This window comes from Homo sapiens, chromosome 4, assembly GCF_000001405.40.
Source record: "Homo sapiens chromosome 4, GRCh38.p14 Primary Assembly".
NCBI classification, from domain to species: Eukaryota; Metazoa; Chordata; class Mammalia; order Primates; family Hominidae; genus Homo; species Homo sapiens.
Window position 1 is genome coordinate 189763320 of NC_000004.12, and position 26220 is coordinate 189789539.

The 26220-nt window shown below is 41.8% G+C and overlaps 2 long non-coding RNA genes across 2 annotated transcripts in view; both read right to left on the reverse strand.

The window, feature by feature from the left end:
- Positions 1-1071: 1071 nt before the first annotated feature.
- FRG1-DT (FRG1 divergent transcript) overlaps positions 1072-26220 on the reverse strand; it is a 176343-nt gene continuing 151194 nt past the window's right edge. Inside the window, exon 4 of the long non-coding RNA NR_149039.1 lies at positions 1072-2428. This is a non-coding gene — a long non-coding RNA (FRG1 divergent transcript). The remainder of the gene's footprint in view (positions 2429-26220) is intronic.
- Positions 16000-24286, reverse strand: LOC124900882 (uncharacterized). The gene is made up of 2 exons (XR_007058516.1): positions 24222-24286; positions 16000-23702 (listed from the first exon to the last, which is right to left on the reverse strand). It is a non-coding gene; the product is annotated as an uncharacterized LOC124900882 (long non-coding RNA).

The window sequence follows — 26220 nt, forward strand, 5'->3', positions numbered from 1 at the left end:
AACACCTACCAGGACACGGCTGAGCTAACACTCAGCACCTTCCAAAATTCTGCACTTGAGTCTTTTGTAAACAACCCTGCCTTTCAGTTCCTCAGTCAACACATTAAATACACATCCTTTTCAGAAATTATTGTCTATATAGCTTATGAATCTAAAACCAGAACCATTTCACCAGGTTGGTGGGGATCTTTTCCATGTTTGCTGTGAATGGCAAAACCACATAACTCAATGGAACCACAGATGTGCAAATCTGGGTGGACAGCAGGGATGGCAGCCACCCTCAGTATGCAGATAGAGACCATGAAACTAATGTGGCTGTTAACTTGTCCCAGAAAGCAAACTCAAGGGGTTAGCAGCTGTTTTTGTTTCCTCTCTTTCTCTCTCTTCTTTTGTTGCTGACATTTGAAACATATATCTCACCATTGCTGACACCATCCCCCTCACCCCCACCAGTAGGAGTCAGTTCATTGCATGGACTGAGAGAGAGACATCTTGCCACCGGTTTCTTCTCTATCCAGATGTGATTTTTGCAGAGTAGCAGAGCACCGGAAGCTGGCTTCACCATAAAGGCTACTCTGCAGACTATTATCTTCCAGCATACATGAGGGATAGCATATGGTATGAGGGTGGGCGTTCTAATGAGACAAATCAAAGACACCAATGGTTCACAGACTTCTCTAGGAGCAAAGTATTGCCCTATAGGACACAAAGGAATTGATTTAAGAAACCCTTCAGAAAACTGGTATTGCTTTTATTTTCACTACAAAATAAATATTGAAGTAAATACAAAAAGATGTTCTCCATAATGATGTATGAGAACCTGCATGAAGTCAAGCCTGCATTCTGTGGCCACCACAAATTCAAGGCAAGCAGGACGCCACAAACTTCACCCTCCCACTCCCAAGTTTCTGCCAAATTAAGCCCCAAAGTTTAGGGACAGAAAGCAAAATATCCTAGATTCCTGTAACTCCTGGTTTGTTTTTTTTTTTTTTTTTTTTTTTGAGACGGAGTCTTGCTCTCTTGCTCTCTCACCAGGCTGGAGTGCAGTCGCGTGACAGCAACCTCCACCTCCCAGGTTCAAGCTATTCTCCCGCCTCAGCCTCCTGAGTAGCTGGGACTACAGGCATGTGCCACCATGCCTGGCTAATTTTTGTATTTTTAGTAGAGACAGGGTTTCACCATGTTGGCCAGGATGGTCTCAATGTCTTGACCTCATGATCCACCCACCTTGGCCTCCCAAAGTGCTGGGATTACAGGTGTGAACCACTGTGCCCAGCCCCTTTAACTCATTTTGAAATGATTCTCACATAACATATTCACATCAATATTTTCATAACCTAAGAAATTTCCATTGACCTAGTTTCCTTAATTAACTTGTGAGAAAAATTCTTATCATTGGATTTCTTTTAATTTTCAAAATATATAAATTGATGTGCAGATCGATACAAAATAACAATTTATGCTTGTTATAAACCCATCTCTGCTCAGAGTCCTGGAAAGGACATCACAGTGGAAGGCCAAGTGGGCTGCAGGTGGCAGACACAGTTCCTCAGCCTGGACGTCACAGTGGAAGGCCAAGTGGGCTGCAGGCAGTGGACAGAGTTCCTCAGCCTGGTCAGTTGCTCCTGGGATGGTGGGTGAGTCAGAACATGTGTCTTTATTTGTCAAGTGGGGGTTAAGCCAGGCATTGTCTAAGGTGCCTCACAGAGTTAATATTCTTTGCTGTGAACTTGCTGCCAAATAGTTCATAGGACAGTTTTTATGTTCAGCCAATGGGTAGAAATGTAGCCCAAAGACCTACAACATGGGGCAGGGAATCAGGGCAGGGGACCAGGGCAGGGATCCAGGGCAGGGAACCTGCTCTCCCTTGCTGATGGTCTTCACTGTCCTCCTCTCCTTCCTCCCACGTGTCGGGATCAGTGATGAAGTGGAGGCACCTTTCAGAGAATGTATCCAGGATCTCCTTCTCCTCTCCTTCAAAAAACAGAAAGCTCGATGTTGTCTTTTATCACATCTGGTATTTGAAAATTTATGTTCTGATGAGGCACTGTGCGCAGAAGCAGAACCCGCTGCATCCAATGGTATGCTGCTATGCTGACCTCGAAGTCACTCGCCTTGGACACAGGCCGTTAACTTGACATGGTGATTTATTCGCCAATAAGCACATCTCCCATATCACAGATCAGCGAGTGGAGTGTGCTGCAAATGGTGTGGTGGCCTTGAACCCCTGAGATATCCTAGAGACATGATGGATGGGCTGGCCTGGCCTGTTGTGACTGTGGTGAAGGCAAGGGAGGCAGGGGTCTGCACCTGCCCCTGGTACAACCTGCTGCCCCACAAGCACCCAAAGCCTGCTGCCGGCATCGTCTTCCTTTGCTCTGAATCTTAGTTGTTAAGCTTTCCCCCAGAGTAACAGGAGAGTTGCAGCCTGCGGGAAAAGGACAAGATGTGAATTCTGTTTCAGGAATTTGGCCTTAAAAACAATGATGCTTATTTGTGTAGCCCAAGAGAGGAGCTCATTGAACATAAGTCAGATGCCAGGGCTGATGTGGCCTCAGATAGTAATTCTTACCTCACTGCTGTTTCAGGCAGCCAGTTCTTACATTTGCATCCATTAGTGGGAAGAGCGTCTCATCTTTCATAGAAAAGGTCGAGTGACAGCACACAGTCAACCAGGCATTGCCTCAAGAGCTGTGAGACGGTGCTCTAGGGGCACTGAGCCTCGGTGACCTGCCTGGGAGCCTCATGTAGTCCTGGAAAATCACCAGCTCTGCAAATCTCAACCCAAACAGGAAACTCTCTGCCCCGAAGTAGCACAGACATAACTCTCGATACATACGTCGATTTATCTCCACATTATTATTATTATTTAATTTTTTGTAATACAGCCTTGTTTTGACTTACAACTCCCAGAGACATCCTTTCAAGGTAATATAATTCTAGCTTTATTGCAGTTCAGATGAACATTCTTTTTTAAAGCTAAAATAATGTAAGTTGTATCAAGTACTAACACCATTCTTAGGGCTGACATGAATAATCAGATTTTCATTTTGTCCTACAATTTCATACATCCCTAGTCCATGCAAACACTTTAAAGCAACCATTTTCTAGACATAAATGTGCTGCTATATGATGATGAGACTCTGCATGATTTCTGTCTTATTCTTTATGCTTTTCTGTATTTTCCCAGTTTTCTAAAATATTAACAAAATTTGTTGTTAAAATTGTAACAACCTTTTGAAAGAACATGCATTTAAAAACAAAATTATAAATGGGACATTTATAATTATGTGGTACATTGTGATAAAGATGGTAGGCTCAGCTGGCCCTGTGTTTCTATGTTGTACATTCGAAGCACTCACAAGGTGCCCAGAGCGTCGCAAGGGCTCTGAGGCCCCTCAGACAGCAGCCAAGTAAGAAAGTTTAATTCACTAATTACAGTAGGAAAAGCTGAATTACAGAACAAGTGATGATCTGCCTGAGATGCTCATGTAATAACCTAGAACATTCCTGGGGAAAGCTGGGCCTGACTCCCACTATTCTGCTCTCTCCACACATTCCTCCAAGACCTTCTACAGACCCTTTGAGAGCGTGGAAGTTTGGAGTGTGAAGCCACGCTGAAGACGCCTTAACGTCCCAACAGTTTTGCTTCTTAATAAATTGAAGACTTACTTCAACATAATCATGCAACCAACTGAAAGACTTTTAAAAAGTTTTTTACAAAAAGAATTACTACATTTATCCTCGAGACACCAAACAAGAGCCTAACTAACATTTTCATTGAATTGGCGATTGGCTTGAGTTGTTTCCAAATTGACTTTATTTGTCCTTTGGAATCACATAGACACAACCTTAATCTAAAAGTCATTAGCAACTAAATTTAAGATTATTGACTTAGCTGCATAGAAAACCAAAAACTTGACATCCTGATGGAAAAGTTGCATTCAATTTTATAAGAAGAGCTAATATTTAAGGAGAACTTAGTATATGCCAGTGGTATTCCAAGCACCATACCCGTATTAACTTAATTCCTGTAACAACCCTAGGAAGAAGGCTACATTATTATTCTAATCTTAAAGAGGAATAAACTGAGATACCGAGCCATTGAATAACAGTGAATAAGTAAAGAAGCAAAGGATTGATCAGAGGTAATCTCACCTGGATCCTCTTACCCACTGAGCTAGGACTGCATTCTCACCCCACAAATGGTGATGTGGTCAGGGCTACATAGTGGAGTGATCTAGACCACAGGCCTGGTGTCAAACACACTCAGGTTTTCATGCTCAGCCTGCCACTTACTAGCTGAGTATACTTAGGCAAAGCACTTTATTAAATATATCATTTTGCCTCAGTTTTCTTAATCTAGTCCCTAACTTGCATGATTGTCATAAGGCTTAAATTAGAGAATGTTTACAAGTTGGTTAGCTAGTGTCATAACATACTAAGGCTCCTTTAAATGGTACCTACTAGGATTATATCAACTTTCTAACATCTATTTTATCCTCCACAATAGTAGGATGCATTTAGAATGTTTGCAGTCACATGAGAAATTTATAAGGAGGAAGGCAGACAGCCTTATTTCAGAACTGAACAAGACTCAGAAGCCAACGTTTAGCTGTGTTTAGAAAGTTTTGCAGATCTCAAGTGAGTAGCACTTTCATCTAGTGATTCTTTTATTCAAGATCATAGGAAATATCCATTTGGAGCCTTTAAAACTCTTTTATGCCGCGAAAATGCAGACACACAAACAACGCACTATGGGTAATCCTGGCCTCAAGAGATCTGTGAACAAAATAAAGCAACAAAGAACTGGCACAGAGCACTGTGCTGGCTCCGTTCATTTCCACACTGCTCTTGGAGCTGGGAGTGGAAAGGAGCAGGTAATTTCTTCCATGGGAGCAGCCAATGCATATTATTCTGGTGAAAGTACTTAAATACACAGAATAGAGACAGAATATGAAAAAGAGCAAACTGCTTTAAGGAAAAAAATTCACTCCTAAGGGAAAAGAATCATCTAGTTTTGTTTTATACCTGCAGAACAGAGATCAATGCTGAGACCTCGGTGTCTAGCACACAGCCCAGTATGTAACAGGTAAGAAAGTCAATTAACATTTCCTAGATGATTGATAGAAAAACACCTGAAAACTTTCTACCCAACAACCAAAACCATCTTCCAGGAAAGACACCTATTTGCCTGGATTCAGTCCTGAACATATGTACCACCCAACTGTAGTCACAAAGAGGAATTCTGTTTATAGAAAACTATTGTTAATATTTTTAAACCATTTGCTACATTACTATATTTTAAAAGCTTAAAATTTCACAGAGAAAAATAATTTTACCTTTTGGAATTACTACATTTTGGAATTACAAAATTTTGCCGAAAAATTCTTAAGACAGCTGAGTCTGCAGGGTTGAAAGACCAGCGGAGATGATGGTTACAAAGTATGCCAGATGGCTTTTGTCCCATAACACACCATCTTAAACTTGGTCGTTGCAAGGGGCGATTTTGTGCCAACTTGGCTAGGCCATGAACCCAGATATTAGGTCAAACACTCAGTGTAAATATTGCTGTGAAGGTATTTGTTAGATGAGATTAACATTGAAATCAGTGGATATTTAGTGAAGAGGGTTACCCCCATAATGTGAGTGGACTTCACCTAAATGGTTGAAGGCCTTAAGAGAAAGAAAGACAGAGGTCCCGGAGGGAAAGGGAATCCTGCCTCCAGGTGGTCTCTGGGCTCCAGATTCAGCATCATCTCTTCTCTTTTCTTCATCTCTTCTCTGGCTCTCCAGCCTGCAGCCTGCCAGTCCCCACAATCGTGTGGGCCAATTCATTATAATACATCTCTCCCTCTCATGTATCGTATCTTACTTCTTTCTCCGGAGAACCCCGACGACCATAATGGCTTATACAACAACCTTTATTTCACTTACAATTTCCGGGCTCGCAGTTTGAGCTGTCTTCACTGGGGCAGGCCTGATCTTCTGGGCCGGACTCAGCTGATCTGGACTGGGCTCATTTGTGCAATTTGAGCTGGCTTCATTGGGGCAGGCCTGATCTTCTGGGCCAGACTCAGCTGATCTGGACTGGGCTCATTCACACATCTGTAACTGTCATTTGTTAGTCAAACATTTAAACGATTTGCAAAAATGTGAAACAATTTCCCTTTTCTCACCAATTTTTGAGGGGTTTGGAAAATATAATTATTTTTCATAAAATGTTATTTACATTAAAATGTGTTGGTCTTAATATTATTTTAAATGAGTTGATAAATATTTTTTTACATTTCCCATTTTGGTATTCAATAAAGTAAATATAGATAGACATGACCCATGTGAATAAAAGCTGTTAAGTGTCCTCAATAATTTGAACTGTGTAAAGGGGTCCTAAGAATGAAAAGTTTGTGAATCACTGCTCAATACATGTCATCTGGAAGCAGCTAGTGTAGGATCCAGCCTAAATCTCCACGGCGTGAGGAAAGCCATGGCCATCCGGGCCTCCTTTAGCAGTGATCAATGTCATCCATTACGTAAAACCTATTGAGGGTTTGCTATGTGCCAGAAAGGCGAGGTTTGCTGTGTATGCAGGAGCCAGGTCATGGGAAGATTTGCAAACTTCACTAGGGCTTCAGCTTCACTTAGAAAGAAAAAAAAGTGACTGAAGTATTTTAACGAAGAGAATGATGTGTCTCGATTTATATTTTAGGAAGGTGATTACGAGGCTGTGTCTTTGATGGAATGAAGCCAATAAGGCTGCAGCCAAGAAGATCAGTTGGAGCTTTTAGCTGAAATCCAGGTGAGAAGAGATTAAGGCCTCCTAAATTAAGGCAGGAACAGAAGGAAAAGAAAGAAGAGCTTCCAGGAGCGATAAATGAGATAGATCTACTACACTGGGTGACTAAATGGGCACAAAAAAATGAACGGCATTTCCTTTCTCCAAAGGCAATTTTCCTCAAATTATTGACATTATCCGAAAGACATAAACAGGTATTTTTCAAAGGAAGATATACAAATAATCAATGAACATACTAAAATGTGTTCAGAAATCACTAGAATAAAAAAATGCAAGTATAAGCAATAAAATAAATTGTCTTTAACCAAATGGCAGTTTTTTTTTTAGCAACACCTGTTTTCAAAGATAGGAAAAGAGATATGCAAACATGTTTGACAGAAAACTGAATCAGTACAACCATTCTGAAAAGCATTTTAGAAGAATGTTTCAGGACTCTTCTAGGAATTTATCTTAAGAGAACACAGTTCATGTCATTTACCACGTTCTAATATACTATCTAACGGGCTTCTCTATGTTTACTGTAAGTCTCACCTACTGGAATATAAATACTGCAAGAACAAAGATGGAATCCCAAGCACATAGAAGAGTGCACAACACGCTGTAAGTGCTTCCTAACCCCACTGTAAGTGCTTCCTAACCCCACTGTAAGTGCTTCCTAAACCCCACTGTAAGCGTTTCCTAACCGCTTCCTAAATAAATAAAAGATGTAAGTACTTCCTAACCCCTTTCTAAATAAATAAAAGATGTCCACTAGGATTTACTTACCAAAGTGGTCACTATAGCATTACTTACAATGGCTAAACTGGATAAATCTAAATGTTCATCAACGGGATACTGGTTAACAAAATAATGATGCCACTGCCATAGGAGGCAAAATCACATAATCATTAGAAAGCAAGTCATTAAGGATGTTTAAGGCTATGAGAAAACATTCCCAATTTATTAATTGGGTAGAGAAGAATTAAAAAGTGTATATAGAGTAACATAGTAACCGTATTCAGAAATAGTAATAACACTAAAATGTTAACCATGATTACCTCTGGCTAGTGTGTTTATAGTCATTTTTATTTTCTTTTCTATGCTTTCCATATTTTCTATAACCAGGTAAATAAAATTTTGAACCATCCCCATATGCCACAAAACTCCCTGAGTATATTTTATCACACAGCATGGTGTAATAATAATGTTTACAATAATAACATACAGTTATTTTAAAAATATTACATTGTATTCAATATCCTCAATTTATAAAGAAGGAAAATCTCTGTGGTGGAAACATGGGTTTGATTAATCTCTATTTTTCCGTGTTCTTATTTCTAAATTCAGGAAGTGGGCAATGAACTCTTTAATGCTTTCCATCCTGGCAAGTTAAAATTTTAAAATGTTGAAGTTCTCTAAAGGTAACCTTCAATTACTTGTAAAAGTCATGTTTATGAAATACCTAGGTCTCCAATATTGCTGGTTAAATGAAACATTATTGCACATATTACAGAGGAAAAGGTATTTGTTTGACCTTTCGCAGTTTCAACACTGCAATTTAATATTGTATTTCACATACCATTCCAGCTGATCATATATTTTTAAAAATCGCAGTATTTTGAAAAGTCTATCCTGCATTAGTATCCATTTATTGCATCAATTAGCATCAATGCATTATACGCAATACCTGAAAGTTTTATAAATATTTTAATAGTCTTACAACAGGGTTCCAAAATACATTATGAGAGAAAGAGGCTGGGAGTTTGCATGGCTGGCTCAGGCTTGCATAAGGGAGCATGCCCACACTGACACATCCAATGAAAGAAACCGCAGTGCCAAAACCACAAGGCAGGCTCATAACGGTCTGACTGCATGCTGAACTACGTGTTTCTTCATCAATACACTCTGCTGACTAGCTTTTTGTTAAGTTCATGAGAAGTGACAACATTTAATCCTACCATTTCGAGGAAGAGAAGCCATGTCTACCCGTTGATCTTTTAGTTGTCATGAAGGAAATTGAACTTCAGAGCTTCCATCTTGCCTTCATCATGGCTCTTACCACACAGATGCACCTGTGTGAGATGTCTTGAGCCGCAGAGACCAAGACATGCTCAGAATTCAGCCAGAAGCTGACATTATAAACGGCAGTAGACTCAGTCGCTTGATACAGTTGTTAAATTCAGATTTTGACCATCTGGTTCTTTTATTTTACCAGTCTGCGTGTGCTTAAGATATTATTCTACTATTAAATTGAAGGAATACCAGGTTCACAATAAATAATCCAAATAAATTTGTCCATAATGTGTATATTTGGCTCTGTCTGCTGAGCATAGTACTTTGGCCCCGCTGATGCATCATCCAGGCATGTTTTTTGAATGTATTTTCTCCCCGTTTTCCCAGGCATCATGTTGTTCGCTAGCTCAAGGTGCATACCTTATTCTTTTGGTAAGATAATTACAAAGAACCAGTCCTAACTCCTATTTCTGCATGTATGATGACCTACATAGGCAGATTGAAAGTAAAGGTAGACATGGAATACCATGTTTTTAAATCTTTCAAAAATGCATTGATACTCTGGCAAGAAAGTAAGAAATATTAAGAATTATGAATCTAAATCAAGCCAGAAACCTGAAAAGGTAAGCAGAGCACTAAACCTATTTGTCATCATTGGGCATGTGGGAACTTGAGGAGTTTCAGCAACAACTTTTGTGGTCTGATGGGTGGGTGGTGACAAACAAAGACAAAAGCTCAGGCCAGCCCATTAGCCCACCCAGCTCTTCAAAAAGTGGGAAGCCTGAGGTCAGAGCAAAGATTAATCATTGTTTTCTTTCTTTTTTAAAAAAAGTTTAGAGTCAGGGTCACCCTGTTGCCCAGGCTGGAGTGCAGTGGTGCGATCACATCTTACTGCAGCCTCAAACTCCTGGGATCAAGCGATCCTACTGCCTCAGCCTCCTGAGTATCTGGGACTACGGGCACACACCACAACTGCCTATTTTTATGTATTTAGATAAGGGGTCTCAAACTCCTGGCCTCAAGCAATTCTTCGATCTTAGCCCCCTGAATAGCTGGCATTACAGGCATGAGCCACCAGGCCCAGCCATCCAAAAAAAAAGGTACCCACATTTGCTATTTAGAACATTCCAGAGGCCAAATGAAAGGAGACATCTCAACTCTGCTCCCAGGAAGCTAGGGCAGAGGCTTGACCAATCAGAGCTCTGGCCAGCTGTAGAACCTTGGCCAATCAGAGCACTGGCCAGCTCTAGGATCTTGGACAATCAGAGCTCTGGCCAGCTCTAGGATCTTGGCCAATCAGAGCTCTGGCCAGCTCTAGGATCTTGGCCAATCAGTGCTCTGGCCAGCTGTAGGATCTTGGCCAATCAGAGCTCTGGCCAGCTCTAGGATCTTGGCCAATCAGTGCTCTGGCCAGCTCTAGGATCTTGGCCAATCAGAGCTCTGGCCAGCTCTAGGATCTTGGCCAATCAGAGCTCTCGCCAGCTCTAGGCTCTTTGCCAATCAGAGCTCTAGCCAGTTCTAGGATCTTGAGAAAGCAATGCCAAGCTCTGAGGAAAGTAGCGACTGTGTAAAGTCCATGCAGCAGTGGAGTTAAAGCACAGCAGGATCAGGCCAGCGATTGTCCACTAGCAGTGGTGCTAACCATGCGTTCTCAGCTGCCTAATTTCACTTAGTTTCCACACATTTTTTGAGTATGGATCTCCAGACGCGTGATTGATTCTTCCAAATATAGTTCTAATAAATATTGCTTCTTCTGAATTTCTTACTTAAATTAGCCAGACTTTATTTCTGTTGTTTGCAACTGAGCACCTCGCTGATACAGTCTTCCCCCAAACTCTGAAATCTTCCATAACCAAGCCAAAGAATTCCATCGGGGGAGACGTCACCCAGGGAAGCTTAAATCTAAATAAAAGATAATAATCTGGAAGAAAGCTTTCTCACAATTACAGCTGTTATGCACCAGGGACCTATCCAGGGTCCTGACCTTCCTTACAACTCATGGTCTCGAAAGCCTTGTGCTCCTCCACCTCCTGTCACGTATCTTCTTAAATCCTCATCCACACGACTGTGACTCATGACCACTGCAATAACTCATCTTAAACCTTCATGGTCCACTCATACCCTGAGTAATTCACACCAGGAAGAATTATCATGCTCATTTTCCAAATCATAAAGCCAAAATTACTTTAGTGGGTTGACAGTTGACAATGAAGAATGCATCCTAGGAGTTCACAATTAACTTTGTGAAACTGGTAATTTGTTTCACTTTTTTGTCATAGTAGTATCCTCATTCTTTTTTAAAATAAATATATATTAAGCACGTACAGTGATCCCAGCACATTGCTAGGTGCTCTAATTGGCCTGAAGAAGTGGTCCTTGCATCAGGCGGTTCTGTAGTAGAACAAAGGTCTTAATTTGAGATCTAATTGATCCAGTTAATATGTGTGAGTTCAGACAACTCCCTTAATGCTTTAAGGCTCAGCTTCCTCATCTATAAATTAGCGTGATACTCATCTTCCCTGTCTGCCTAAGGGTTGTTGTAAAGATCAAATAATGATTGTTGCCAGTAAAATCATAAAATGTTCTTCCAAGCACTTGGAAGGAAGAAACTTAAGATTACTCTTGAATAATTAGATTGTGAAATCAAGACATAAAGACTCAGAACCAAGCTAGGTAATGTCTCCTTAAGAAAACAGAATGAATTGCACCCAGATCAGCAAAAATGAACAATAATCTCATTAATCACATGAAAAGACCTAATAATTGGATGTGCCAATAGTAAAATGGATTGTCAAAAAGTAAAAATAAAAAAGTCAGAAATGCAAACATTGGAAGAATTCTAGAGAGCTTTAGCTGAATGGCTTCAATAGAATGGTGACCTTAGTAAGGCCATCTGCATTACAGAGATGAAAACTTAGTAATGTTTTTAGCCTTATCTTTGCAAAGCAATCACCTAGAAATTTTTAGACTTCTAAAAAGTTCTGTCTACAGTGTGATGTTCAAATGGAAATTTTGCCAATGTGAGCATTGTGGGTTCACACTGGAAAATCTGTAATTTAAAATTAGTCTTGTAAGCTCAGCTTCTTTGAGCCCAATACTGAGAATGATTTTTTAACAAAATCAGATTTCTGAGCCTACGAGATTGAGAGGAAGACTTAGGAGAGGAAGACTTAGGCAAGGAAGACTTAGGAAAAGAAGCCAACACTCTAAGTCTGACATTTCAGGGCCAACTAATTCCTTATGTGACAACTCTTTTCTTTTGCACACTGAACCTAAACTTGACTTTTTTTTCTTTTGAGACAGGGTCCCACTCTGTCATCCAGGCTGGAGGTCACTGGGGTGGGGCAATCACAGCTCACTGCAGCCTTGATCTCCCAGGCTCAAGTGATCATCCCATCTCAGCCTCCTGAGTAGCTGGGACAATAGCTGAGCTTGACTTTTAAGAGTAGTTAATATTTGGATAAAAGGAGAACATGATAAGTGCAAAGTTATGTCATTGGTAAGCAAATGGAGATAAGAATCTGCTCAATGCATACAAGATTCAAAGAACAGACAACTCTGGCTTTTGCAAAGGAGTCAAAATGATGGAACTAGAAAGTCAGGGTGAGACCAAGTTCTGGAACACCTTAAATAGCAAGAGAAGGTGTTTGAAGTTAATTCAGTAGGTAATAAAAGTGACTGAAAGTTTTAAGCAAAGAATATCGTAATGTAATGGGTCTGGAGAGGTTATTAATATGGCACTGATGGGCAGGAGATGAGAATAACTCAAGGACAAAAGGCCAGTGAAGACATTACTGGAAAAAATCCAGCTGCAAACTTACTTAGGATTTGACTGGGCGTGTTTGTTATTTCTGACCAGTGCCCCATTTTTCCTATGGGAAGAATGCTTTCCTTTATGTGGACACTGCTTCTTCTCACTCTCCAACTGCATCTCCAACCCCATCCCTAGCTTCTGCTCATTGGTCAAAGATTAGACTCATGATCTCCACCAATGCCATCAAAGTCCTCCAGTGAGATTTTTCCATTGATTCCTGTCTAAAAGTGAAGCCAGTCACCTTCTAGTCATACTTGAATGGTGCAGCTTAATTGTATGGAAAACTTATTCCAATACTATTGCAAAATGCTAGTCGCCTACTTTAGGAGCTGTTGTTGCTCCACTAGCTGCTTCGTTCTGCACATCATCCTACAATTTCCTTCTCTTCTCCTCATCCCAATCCAAGGACTCCCAATTATTTCCAATTCTCAACTAGCAGGTCACAACTTGCAACTTTTTATCCATGCTCATTTGAGACATTTTAGTTCAAAACATTGTTTTTCAATTTTATTGTTTTTCAGATGGAGTCTTGTTCTGTTGCCCAGCCTGGAGTGCAGTGGTGCGATCTCGACTCACTGCAGCCTCGGCTTCCCGGGTTCAAGTGATTCTCCTGCCTCAGCCTCCTGAGTAGCTGGGACTACAGCCGCCCACCACCACACCTAGCTAATTTTTGTATTTTTAGTAGAGATGGGGTTTCACCATGTTGGCCAGGCTGGTCTCGAACTCCTGAGCTCGTGATCCACCTGTCTCAGCCTCCCAAAGTGCTGGAATTACAAGCATGAGCCACCATGCCTGGCCTGTTTTTGAATTTTAATTAAGTCTGATACAAATTAATATTCTATTCTAAAATCTCATCAGTGGCAAAATAGTCTAATTACTATACCAAAGGAAAGTGATGAATTAGAATAAGCTTGTTATTAATGCCTTCAAATTCCTTCCTTTTAATTTTCATATTTCTTACTTATTCCCTGCTGCACCTGCAGTCACAGCCATCTTCCTTAATGTTTGTTTTATGTAATAATAGAAAGCTGTTTTCAGCTACTGGGGAGGCAGAGGCCAGGAGATCGCCTGAGCCCAGGAGTTTGAGACTGCAGTGAGCTACAATCACACCACTGCATTCCTGCCTGGGCGACAAAGCAAGATCCTGTCTCTAAAAAGAATTATAAATAAATAAATAAATGTGAGAAAGCTGTTTTAGCAAAACTTCTCTCTCCAACTACATTTGGAGAAGTACGTGCATAGAGGTATTCCCAGGACTTCAATATTCTCAATGCCAGCATTCTCCACAGGCAATTCTTGAATGCCTGACAAATTACAATGAGGAAGGAATCTATTCACCACCTAGATCAGTGGCTGCCAAATACTTGACTCTCAGGACCCCATTAGGCTCAAAAAGTATCCTGGACTTCAAAAAGTTTTGTTGATTTGATTTATATTTATACTTATTAATATTTATCATAGAAAAAACACAAACTAACAATCTAAAAATATTTAGTGATTTATTTTAAAATAGTAATAATAAACCTATTACATGTTAATTAAATAACATTTTTATTTAAAATCTATTTTTTTTTTTTTTTCAGATGGAGTTTTGCTCTTGTTGCCCAGGCTGGAGTGCAATGGCCCGATCTCAGCTCACCTCAACCTCCGCCTCCCGGGTTCAAGCGATTCTCCTGCCTTAGCCTCCCGAGTAGCTGGGATTACAGGCATCCGCCCAGCTAATTTTTGTATTTTTAGTAGTAGCTAGTCTCCAAATGTGATCTGGAGAATAAGACCACATTTGGAGACTGGTTAACCTACAATATGTGTAGACAACACAATCCCAAATTCTTAAGTGGATACAATTTTCTCACTTATTTCTATTCTTTTCTTTTGCTCTTAAAATGCCTAGTGCCCAGGGTCTTCATTCCCCCTTCCGGTTGTGCAAAACCCTTTCCCCACCGTGACACCAGTGTGGGACTGACCTGTCCGTAGTGCCACCCTTTCCCCGCCATGACACCAGAGTGGGGCCGACCTGTCCGTAGTGTCACTTGTTCTCAGTGTGCTAATTTCTGTAAGTCAAAATATATCTATTTTCTGATGGTCCCCTGAGGATCCAAATAAGTAACATGCTAGTTTAATGAACTTGGCTGTTAATTGGTGATAATCATTTAATGGCTCCTCCATTCTTCATACAATATTGTATTTAAACAAATCTTCAGTGTCTCCACCCAGACAAATTACTTATATGTAAATGTACCCAGTGAGAGGACTTTCGTGTCACTTTCCCCAGATGACATCTCTTCTCTCTGTGCAGAGTCCTGACCCTATGCACAAGTGTGCAATGAATATCGTCATGTATAATGCATATATAAGACATTTGAATAAATGCTTAGATTATTTTGGATTCCTTAGTAAATGCCAGTTTTGATCATGAAAAGTAGACAGAACCTAGACAAAAAAAAAAAAATACTGGCAGAAAAACCAAACAGCAACAATACTACAAACTCAGATGCACTGACATCTGAGTAACAATGATAGCCTCAGTTCCTTAAAACCTCAATATAGGCTTAACTTTTTTTTTTGAGACAGAGTTTTGCTTTGTTGTCCACGCTGGGATGCAGTGGCGCAAATTTGGCTCATTGCAACCTCTGCCTTCCAGGTTCAAGCAATTCTTGTGCCTCAGCCTCCTGAGTAGCTGGATTACAGGCACTCACCACCATGCCCAGCTGATTTTTTGTGTTTTAGTGGAGACGGGGTTTCATCATCTTGCCCAGGCTGGTCTCGAACTCCTGAGCTCAGGGAATCCACCTGTCTCGGCCTCCCAGAGTGTTAGGATTACAGGCATGAGCCACCATGCCCGGCCAACTTTTTTTAATAATCGAAAATTAATAGCATTTTTTGGCTGGGCACAGTGGCTCACACCTGTAATCCCAGCACTTTGGGAGGCCGAGGCAGGCAGATCACTTGAGCTCAGGAGTTCAAGACCAGCCTGGACAACATAGCCCCCATCTCAAAAAATAAAATTAATGGCATTTAAAAAATATTTACAATAGAAGAGCTTTTAAAACTATAAGCAGATTCTGGGCATTGGTTGTGAGCATCTTGTCCATCCAAAAAGAGCAGAAAATGGATCTGGGTTGACTTCACTGAGTCGCTTGAAACTCACAGAAAGATGACATGGAGCTACTGAGCCATGGTGTTAATGAGCATCACTTTCCACAGTTGCCTCTAGACAATGAGGCCAGATGCTCGTGGTGCAGGATGGGTAATTAATGCCTCCAGTTGTCCCGTGTTTCCTGAGGAAACAATGTTTAAGAACTGCCACAAACTGCGCCTCACAGATTGGAGTAGCTAAGGAAGAAAACCTCAGAAGATTTTACGTCACTTTTTTTTTTTGAAAAGACACAGACCAATCTATTTAGAAAAATATTTTTATTATATGGGAAGCAAAATATTTTTTTTTCTAAAGCACCAAATGTACAGCATCCACTCAAGGGGAACAAAAGGTCTCCCAAACTCTCCAGCCTCACACTGGGGCTCAGCTCTCCGGTAACTTGATCCATTTGTAACTCCAGGCTCTTTCCACGAGTTGTCCTCTAATTCTATAAAATCCAGTTGTACAGCCAGAGGAAAACTCAGAACAGGCACACAAATTTTTGTACTTTGGTTACTGAAAGGGATTTTGTCTTGTTAATCTTGAAGGATTGGCAGAGCAATTTTATCACATTTTCTGAAAAAAATCTATACAGATTTAAGGTCGCATTCTGGATTTAATTGAAGTAACCTTTTGTACAATCTAGCTTTAATGAAGTGCAATGAAGTTAAACTCCGTGGGGGCCATTAATCTGAAACACTCCATTTAAGAACTACAAGGGGAGTTTTTAATAAACAGTGTGAACTAATGCCCATGTGGAAAGGTAATTGAGAGGGAGCTGGTGTCTGGGCCAGATTGTTATTAAACCCTTATCACAGGTAAAGCTGAAACCCCAATGGCAAGCTGCTCTGTGATTTATCGTGCCCTTCTCATCCTAACTTTAAAGAAAAGGCTACGTTTAATAATGAAAAAATCCTGTGACTAAGCTATAAAATAACTGAGCAATTACTTAGAATAATTTATACAGTGCAATACATTGACCTTGCTTTAAGCATAAAATCTACAAAATAACTTTGGCCATAAAACTGTGAACTACTAAAAGTACTAAAGGTTTTAACCATTTTTATTGGGTGGTGCCTGGGGGGACCATAAATACGTGTTACACTCTAATCACAGGGCTTAAGAAAATTCATAATTTTTTATCTTAAAATGGCTTTTTGAGAAAAGTTTTCTCAATTTGGCCAATTGCAAATCACGAAGTCTAATGCCGTTACTTTAAAAGGATTATATATAACGTCCACAATATTATTTCCCCATGTGTGAGTTCTGCCTCACTCTCTCTTTTGACTCCCAGCCATGGCTGATGAAGGAAAAATGGCAATAACTTTTCTGTATTACCTATTTAAATATTTACTCTTTTGAAAAAAGAAGGCAGTGGGATCTGTTGCAACAGAAAGGATTGATACTATCTCCCAGCCCACTGAGACAAGGATGCGTCTATTTCTGGGTAAGTAAATACATTCCTCCCCTCAGCAACGCACAGTCAATGTTTCCACTTTCCACAGTGGCTTTCAACAGCAAAGTTCAGCCTTTACTCCAAACTGGCATCAGAGCAGGACATAACCAAGCATAACATATGACTCTCATTGCCTTCAATTTTTCAATCACTGCAGCTGAGCAAACACGTTTTCCCTGAAGGCTTTGAATCATGGAATTATCCCCACAGATCGTCTTCCAGTTGACTTTAATTCCACTAAATCCAGTCGATTTCTGCAAGATTGGAATATCAGCACATTGACACCCTGTGGAAACAAATTTTCAAGGCAGCAACTTTTGACACAAAACTATTTATTCCTAAGGTTTATCTTGCTTCACCCCTGATAAAATGAGCCAGTTTAGCTCCCAAAGGAAAACAAAGCCACAGGATGTTGTCCCTGGGTTGGCTAAACAGAGATACTTGCGGGAAACCTCACAGACAAAAATACTGCCTGAATATACCATCTTTGTTACTCGTAGAGCTACAGGCATCAGAAAGTTACTGCATGGAAGCAAAAAGGTTTTATGGTATAATGCAGTAATCCATGATTAAATCTCTTAAATATATCATCTGAAGGTTCATTAAAAGACTGGGGCACAGGATGGGACATAGGAGATGATCTGGGAGTTCCAGTCCCGGTGATGCCCTTCAGAAAATGAGCCCCAGGGACCTCAGGGAGGTGTGGCCTCCATTCAGGTTATCTGAGCTAGGGACTGGCTAGAGTTGCATGCGGTCACAGAAATGGAGGATAGTGTACTGCAAAAAGGAAAAGACAGCACCATTGTTCAGAACATGGCCCTGTTGCTGGGTCTCCAGAAGGCAAAATGAGCTTCAGAGGAACAACACAGCCATGAATAAAAGCCTGATTTTTCACCAGCCCACAGACCAGCCAATCTCCAGCTGGAGCCCAATTCATACAGGAGAAAGCAGCCTTTCTGGTGAGGGACCATGTAGCTGTCTTCTTCTAGGAATGGGGAATTGCCTTAGGAAAGAGACTAAAATTTCAACATTTAGCTCTACACACCCTCACAGAACTCCACTAACACACCATAAAAGTAATTTTTTTAGGTCCTAGACCTGTAAGGATATGGAGAAAGATCAAAGAAACCATAATTAGAAGGCAGAAAGGCAGGTGGTAACTGACTTGGTGGACCAAAGAAAGATGACTCCTCACTCAACCAGCAGTAAGGAAGCCAGTGGCCAGTTGGATTTGAGCCATGAGATTCCCAGAGGTTCAGCAGGGAACCCTGAGGTGCTGGAAGTAGAATGAAGGTGAAGGACGGCTTGGTAGCCACTTTAAAAACAGATAGACTTCCAGATCCACACTCTAGCAAGAAAATGGAAGGCTAGTCATTTGAGAAGATAAATGTAAATGTTCAAGATGTCGTCAGAGATGGTTATGTTGAAAAGGGAAGATGAAGTGAAACTGGATCCTGGATGCTGAGGCCCTCCTTCGACCCCAGCAATCTTCTTCCCTTTAGTTCCCAGATCATTGCTAGACGTTCACCCTCTGCAGAAGATTGTAAGGTTTTCTCTGAGGACTCTGTTCCGCCCAAGAGAAGAGACAAAAGTCACTAACATCAAGGATTCCCCAGTACAACCAGTATAACCAGTATAACCATCAAGGATTCCCCAGTACAATGGCTCAACCAGATCATCCTACATCAGAGCCCATATAGCAACCCACAAATGTGCTCAGGGCTTCCAATCAGCTTCTTCATCTTCTACTTTTAAATACGACCAGAGATACAAGGAAATCTAACCATCTGAAAAAAACATCACTGACCTGAAGGAAAGAAAAAATAAACACAAAAGCATGCTAAACACATTTTGGAGGATACTATAGAAAAACTATTTAGAGAGAATACAATGTTTCCCTCAAAAAGATTATTACTATGCTCAGAAAAGTAAGAGGAAATAGTGCAATCATGAAACAAGAACAAGATGTTATTAAAAATGAACATTGAGAGGACTGAAGCAAGCTCTTGGAAATGTAAAATACGATAGTAAAATGTTGCCTCCCCACAAGAAACTATAGAAGTTTAGAAAAAAGAACTGAATAAACCTCACAGGAAATAGGGCAAAATTTCTAAATTATATAAAATAAAGAAGAAAAGGCCATCAGTGCAGGATGATCATTGTCTGGTAGGAGTTCCAAAATGAGCAAAATGAGAAAATTCCCGCAAGACCAATGTGGGTTGATTGCTACCTTCAAATATATTTTTGTCTGCAGATCCCAGTAACTGCTTCCTTCCCATGACCCCAAACCTAGGTATGGAAAAAGACTTTTGCTCGTACTGGCCCCAAGTTTCTTCAGCCTTCCACATCTTTGTAAACCATCCCTTTATTAAATGCTTCTTGAAGTTTCTTACTAGAGCTTGCCCTCTGAATCCTGACAGATAGAGTCCCATGCATTCTGTACCAGCAAGCTCCTGGAGGAGGTGCATCCCCAAAACAAGGAGGTATTCGAAATCAGAGGAAGGCTCAAGCAAGGAAACAGAGGAGCAAAGTGAGAAGGGAATCCCTACAGTGATGGTGGAGGGAAAGTCCAGGAACATACAGCTGAGCGTGGGGCCTGAAAGCAAGAACCCTGCATTGAATCAGGCCCAAAGTTTCTGGAAAAGGTTTACTCAAGAAGACAGAAGTCTCAGAACACCTAATGTCTGGGAAATTTGAGAAAGGAGATTTGGACAACTAGCAGGGAGTTTGGAGTTAAATTAGTAATCAAAACATACAGACATAAACAATGAAAAAAACAGCTATTAGTCCAGAAAAGACAAAAAGTCATATAGGAAAGGAAAAGCAATCATAATTTGCCACAGGCTCAGCACTGAGTGACAGTTACAAAAGTCAAAATAAATGAAAACAATGAATATTGATCTAACCAAAAGTGTAACCAATGGGGAGGATGCTTGTGGCAGAGGGAGGAGGAAAGAAAGGAAAGCCCTCGCTTCCATAAATAATGCCTGAAATTGAAAATTTCTTGAAAAGTAGCAATAAAAGCACGCTATTTTAAAATATAGAGGCAAACACCAAAAAAAAGAAAAAAAAGGCAGTAAAGTTTAAAGCTATTATATTTCCTCTGGAAAAGATGTAATGGAAGAGGAGGATAGCAGATTACTATTCTGCACAACAGACCCTATGGAATTATTTAATTCTTCACACTATACATATGCAACTTTAAAAAAAAAAAGAATTAAAACTAAATGGAGGTCAGAAGAAAAAGGGTAAGGAAGAGAAGAAAGGGAGAGAAGGAGGAAGAAGATAGGGAGGGAGACTTAGTTGAAAAAAAATTAAACTGGCTCAAATAAAAATGGTAGGGCACAGACAGCAGAATGTGGAGCCACCTCAGCTTCCAGAGCCCGCCTCGCTGCAGCTTCCAGAGCCCGCCTCCCTGCAGCTTCCAGAGTCCGCCTCACTGCTCCCTGGCCCTCTCTCCTGCTGGCTGGCCACATGCACCAAAACTTGCTGTTCAACGGGATATGCTCATAGCTATGGTTTCCAGCAGTCTCTCCTGCCCTCAGCTAAGCCTGGTCCTGGCAACTCCCCACCACACCCCACTGTGCCCGACTGCAATTCTTGGGCACTAAATCCTCCCTGTCTCCTGAAAACACTCATCTGTTCTCCAACAAGGAGCACACAGCACCTGGAACTTTGTGGAGATTCTCCCTGAATTTCATACCACAGTTCTCCACCTTCAACCTTCCCTCCTCTAGGACCCGTGGTTGGTTTTTTAACACTTATGGGGGTGTCTGTTTTATGCAAGTTACTTCCACTGAGCTTAGATTTTGCATATTCAGAAATAGACGTTTAAAAATGAAAATAAACAAAAATAACTTCTAAAAAATATGTGCTAATTGCTTAGCTTGTGCAATTGAACTACTGAACTTACCACTGACATGCACTGTGGAGAAAGAACCATCCTCTCGGCATTGAGCATCAGCTTATCCAAGCCAGCAACGAACCCACACAGCTGTGCCCACCTTGTTCTGTTATACAAGATCCCCACAATGGGAGTTACCTTTCACATTTCATCCAGTATTTTCATCCTCAGCTGGATTTGCAATCATAGATATCAGCTCATTTGACCTTCTGGCAGAATCTCTTTTCTACCTCTCAAGATCTAAGTTGACATTGAATCAAATATCTTATTAACATATGCAGACAAAACTATGGGCCCAACTGAAATAATTTCTCATTTGCCATGCTATAAGTTCACTTGTGCACCTAACAGAGAGAGTCTACATTAGACAGGATGCCAGGTGTGGTATCTGCAGAACAATTGGACCTTAATCTCCCCATTGTCAGACTGACTGATTGCATCATATCCAGGTCCCATCACATAGTTACTGGGCTCACCAATACCACTATTGATAGTCAAATCTCCCTCCTGTAGTCAACCTGAGAAAAATCTATTAAGTGAGACACAGGAAAATCCCTAGACACACCTTACAAGGACTAAGAGTCCTCATAGCATGAGCTGATAAATGAGGAAGCCTAGGAAAGTTCTAGCAAGTGGGGAATCCAATGAGACTGTACAGCTAAGGAGTGTGACCTACCTGCCTTGGAAAATCAGAAAAGATTGCCTCAGAAAAGTCCTTTAGCTTTCCATAGACTTAAATATCAAGGTTATCAAGGTTATGTTGTAAAAAGCAGAAATTACTGCCTACCCTGCAGAAGGGAGTGTAAAGATTGGGTGCTAATGACACTGAAAGGAGGAGTGACCTCTGGGCTGAGTCTCCAGGAAGGACCCCCAGCAACCCTGCAGAGCCATCCAGAGGGATGGCCCAGTCAGGAAGGCAGGAATCCAGAGACAACTGCCTTCTATACCCACCCAAGCTGGTGGCCAGACACTGCACAGGGCTACAGAAAGACCCTCCTTCCCCACCGCAGAGCCTGCCAGCAGGAGGACACCTCCTTCTCTGTTCTGACTTGCAGTCCGTACCTAAGAGAATCTGATTGGTGAGGCCAATTTGCATCCAGAAACTCAGGCAGAAGGGTATCTGGGAAACGTAGTTTTCGGCTCTGCAGCCGCTACAGTCCAGGAAGATGCAACCAAAGGAGGAAACAGGTGCTCAGCCTTCATCTACCACAGATTAGGTAATTAATCTAATGCACCTGATTTACCACACAGGCCTCAAAGCACGGCTTTCCCAACAGCCTCTACCTGTAGTCATATTTCGGGAAGACTTCCTCACCTCTGTCAGCTGAGACATGGAACTGCACCCACAGCTGTTGGTGCAATAAATACAATAGCTGAAACTACTGTGTGTTTGCTTTTACACTACTGTGTGCCCACTTTAAAGTTTAAGAAGCTGAGGAACAGAGAGGTAAAATAGCATGCCCAAGGGCACAGTCACAAGTGGTTGGAGAAAACTGGCTCCGTAATTTCTGATCTTACTCTCTAAACTATATAAACGAAAACCATATAAAAATTTACAGTCCAGACTATCTAGCCTGAGAGATGTAGGAGGCAGGCCTCGGGCTTTTACCAATGGCCCTGTGCCATCTAACTTCAATGATCTGATATCTCACTGAGCCCATATCTTAATCTCCTGCCTGGGGGGACCTAGATGGAAAGAGGAAAAGGGCTTGCTGCCACTGTCCTCTCTCCTTGTTCCCAGAAAGCATTAGACCGCAGAAGGTGGAATGCTAAAGAGAGAGGCAACTGCAGGATCAGCTCCCGAGGAGCCGCAGTTTCACAAGCGGTGTGGTCATCCCCACAGACAATGAATAATGCACCATAAATAAAGACTTGGACACTCCCACAAGATCTAGAGTTGTGCCTTTTTCTATGCCTGGCCCTTTCAAAAGTCCCATCTCAGAAATAGAGGGGTGGAGGAAGACGTGAGCTCCCCACAGTAACAGGGCAGCAGGAGCTCCTGTTCCCACAAGGGAGCCTCAGACCTCCACACCCAGAGCTTGACTCCAAGCTCCACCAGGCTCAACCTCTACCCATTGCTCCGCAAAAACTCTGGTCCCATAGACCTCCGTCCAGAAATCCTGCCTATCCAGACTCATGCTGACTAGATCCTGCCTTTGCCCGACCCCACCCTGACACCAGTGTATTTAATTCAATCTGTGTTCACACTGTTGCCCTTCCAAACCTGCCACAGCCCCTCAAGAACAGGATGTGGGAACGTACAACAGAATTTCTCTCCCCTCTCAATTCTCAGTGTTCAATTCTTGCAGCTTCTATAACTGCAAAGATAGGCGTGCAGACCCTTTAGTGAGCAAAGAAATACAGTTCCCAAGAAGAAATTGATCTTAAAGTGTTTGAGTTAGTTTTCCTCAACAAATGTAATGTTAAAATTTCAGAAAAAACTTTAAGACTTTTCAAAGGCTCATTGGACATCAAATAGTTCTCACATAACTGGCTACAGTGTAAATTAATCAAAATTACATACCTTTAATGTCCCTTAAAATGCAGTATTTCATATTTTTTAGGGGTCCATTGAACCTTCAGAATAAATCTGGGGAGGGAGAACTAAGAAAGGACAAATTAAGGGGATAGAGATTTGGGGAAGAGTGAAGACGGCAATTATGGGGAGAACATAATACAGGGAGAGAACGGAAGAACTTGAATAGTGAGAAGAGGGAATGGAAGCAGAGAGTAAGGATGTGTAAGGAGAGTAAGGAGAGTAAGGCAGGAGGCAGTGAGAAAGGAATGGACAACAAAAGACACTTGCTCACCACCGATCCCCAACACACACACACTCACACACTCCCACACTCACACACTCACACACACTCACACACTCACACGCACTCACACACTCCCACAGACTCACACACTCACACTCTCACACACTCCACACACACACACCCACACACGCTCACGCATACACTCACACACTCACATGCACACTTGCTTGCACACACTTACACGCACACACAATTACACACACTTGCAAACACACACATGCTCGCACGTGCACACACACACACGCACAATCTCACTTTGCCTGTTTCCAAACTTAACGTTTTCCAGCCAGTGGGTCCTCACCGGTTAAGTTAATGTGGAAAAGACTATTCTGTCATCCAGAGAACCCACAGCTCAGTGCCTGTTCTGAGGACACAGGCATGTGACTTTCAGCAAGTTGCTGACAATTTCATCATCTCATCTCTATGTAATCAGGGTGATAGGTTTCCAGACATGAGAGTACTGGGACTCCATGAACAAAGAGAAGAAGACACTGAGGCAGAAAATAAGAACCAAAGTACAAGAAGTGAAGATTAAAGTTCATCTCGCTCATTCAGAATCCTGGCCTCGAGAGAACTGCAGATGGAGTCCAAGGGGCTCCACCACTAGAGTAAGAGTTAACGTTTCTGTTTCCATTAGGAACGGCAGGCTGATGCCCGGGCAGATCATTCTGAGGAGAACACTCGCTACTCTCCTCCAAAAGAAGCCGCCCAAAAAAAGGGGGAGGCAGGAGGCTGACGAGGTCCTGGGTGTCTTCCTCTCCCCCAAGTCTTCTGAACTGCTTTCACCCGTGCCCAGCGGCCTCTTCTTCTGGTCTCCCCTCCAGGTCCTAACTGTTGCTAGCAATCCCCTGCTATGATGGTGAACTCAAAAAACAAAACAAAACAAAACAAAAACAATGTCTGAGACGGGTGTGAATCCATTTAGAGGCTTACTTTGCCAAGGTTGAGGACGTGCCTGGGGAAAAGAGACACAAGTCACAACTGGTCTGTGGCCAGCACTTTTTTTCAAAGAGGATTTTGAGGGCTTCAGTATTTAAAGGGATAAAGTAGGCAGGCGGCAAAGAAGGGAAAAAAAGAGAGGGAAGGTATAGTCACATTTTTTGAGGCTTCGATTAGCAGTCAGTGAACCTACATGTCACACGTGACAAGGAGGAGGTAGAGGAACAATCGATTATGTATTCACCTCGTGCTGAGTAAATCTGCACTTTATGTGAGATAAAATAAACACGGAGTAGAGGAAGAAGACAAATATGCATTCATCTCAGGTGGGCGGAGGGACTGTGCCTCGTCTCCTCTTGTCCAGTACCATGAAGATAAGCTGTTAGTTTACTTTGTCAAGGTGAGGGAGGCCCCCTGGGGAGACACGTGGCCTTCTTTCTCTAGCTGTCTGTTTAGGAACAAAAGGAAAGGCGGGGTTTTTTTTTACATGACTCAGTTTCCAAGTTCAACTTTTCCCTTCAGCATAGTGAGTTTAGGGTCCTGAGATTTTCTTTTCTTTTCACAATAGAGGTCATCATAGGTGATCCTCGGTGATGATGAGGATGATACAATGATGGCGATGACAACCCAAAACTGTAATAACTAGGAGAGAAAAGAGAAAAGGGGACAGAAAAGAGAAGGGAGAAAAGAAGGAAGAATAAGGAGGAGCAGGAAAGAAGATGCTACGCCCCACTAGCAGTGCTGGCTGCTTCGTTTCTTCTTCTTTCCCAAATATTTGTGTCATGCCTGCCTTCCACTTAGCTTCTTGACAGTGGGGTCAAGGCCAACATGACGCGCCCCCCCACCCAGGGAGTTTACAGAGTAGGAAGGATTCCAACACCTCCTGATGCACCGTGGCAGGTGCCGTGATAAAAACGCAGTTACACAGATACACCCGGCCAGGGATGGTGGTCAGGGACCTCACCACATTTGTGTGCTACAACTATGAGTGGATCAGAGGGGAATGAGGTTGTGGAGGCAGGATGACCATGAACAGATTATCATAAGAAACAAGGCGAGAATGTTGGTGGCCCGGGCTGGGGCAGAAAAGGTGAGGAGTTGGTGCTGTACTGATGGAATTTCGTGGTTAAAGAGGTGTGGAGGGCACAGCGGAGGAGGAAGTCAAGGACAAACTCCAAGTGTGTGGATTGGCCTGCCGGGTGGATGGTGATTTCATTTACTAACTTTCAGGGCACACAAGAAATGGTACGTGCTGAGGATGAGTTCAACTTTGGACAGATGAGTTTTAAATACATAGGTGTCAACTGATTGTAAACAACCAACGGGTAAGTGAGCATATAAGGCTGCTGTTGTGAATGGAA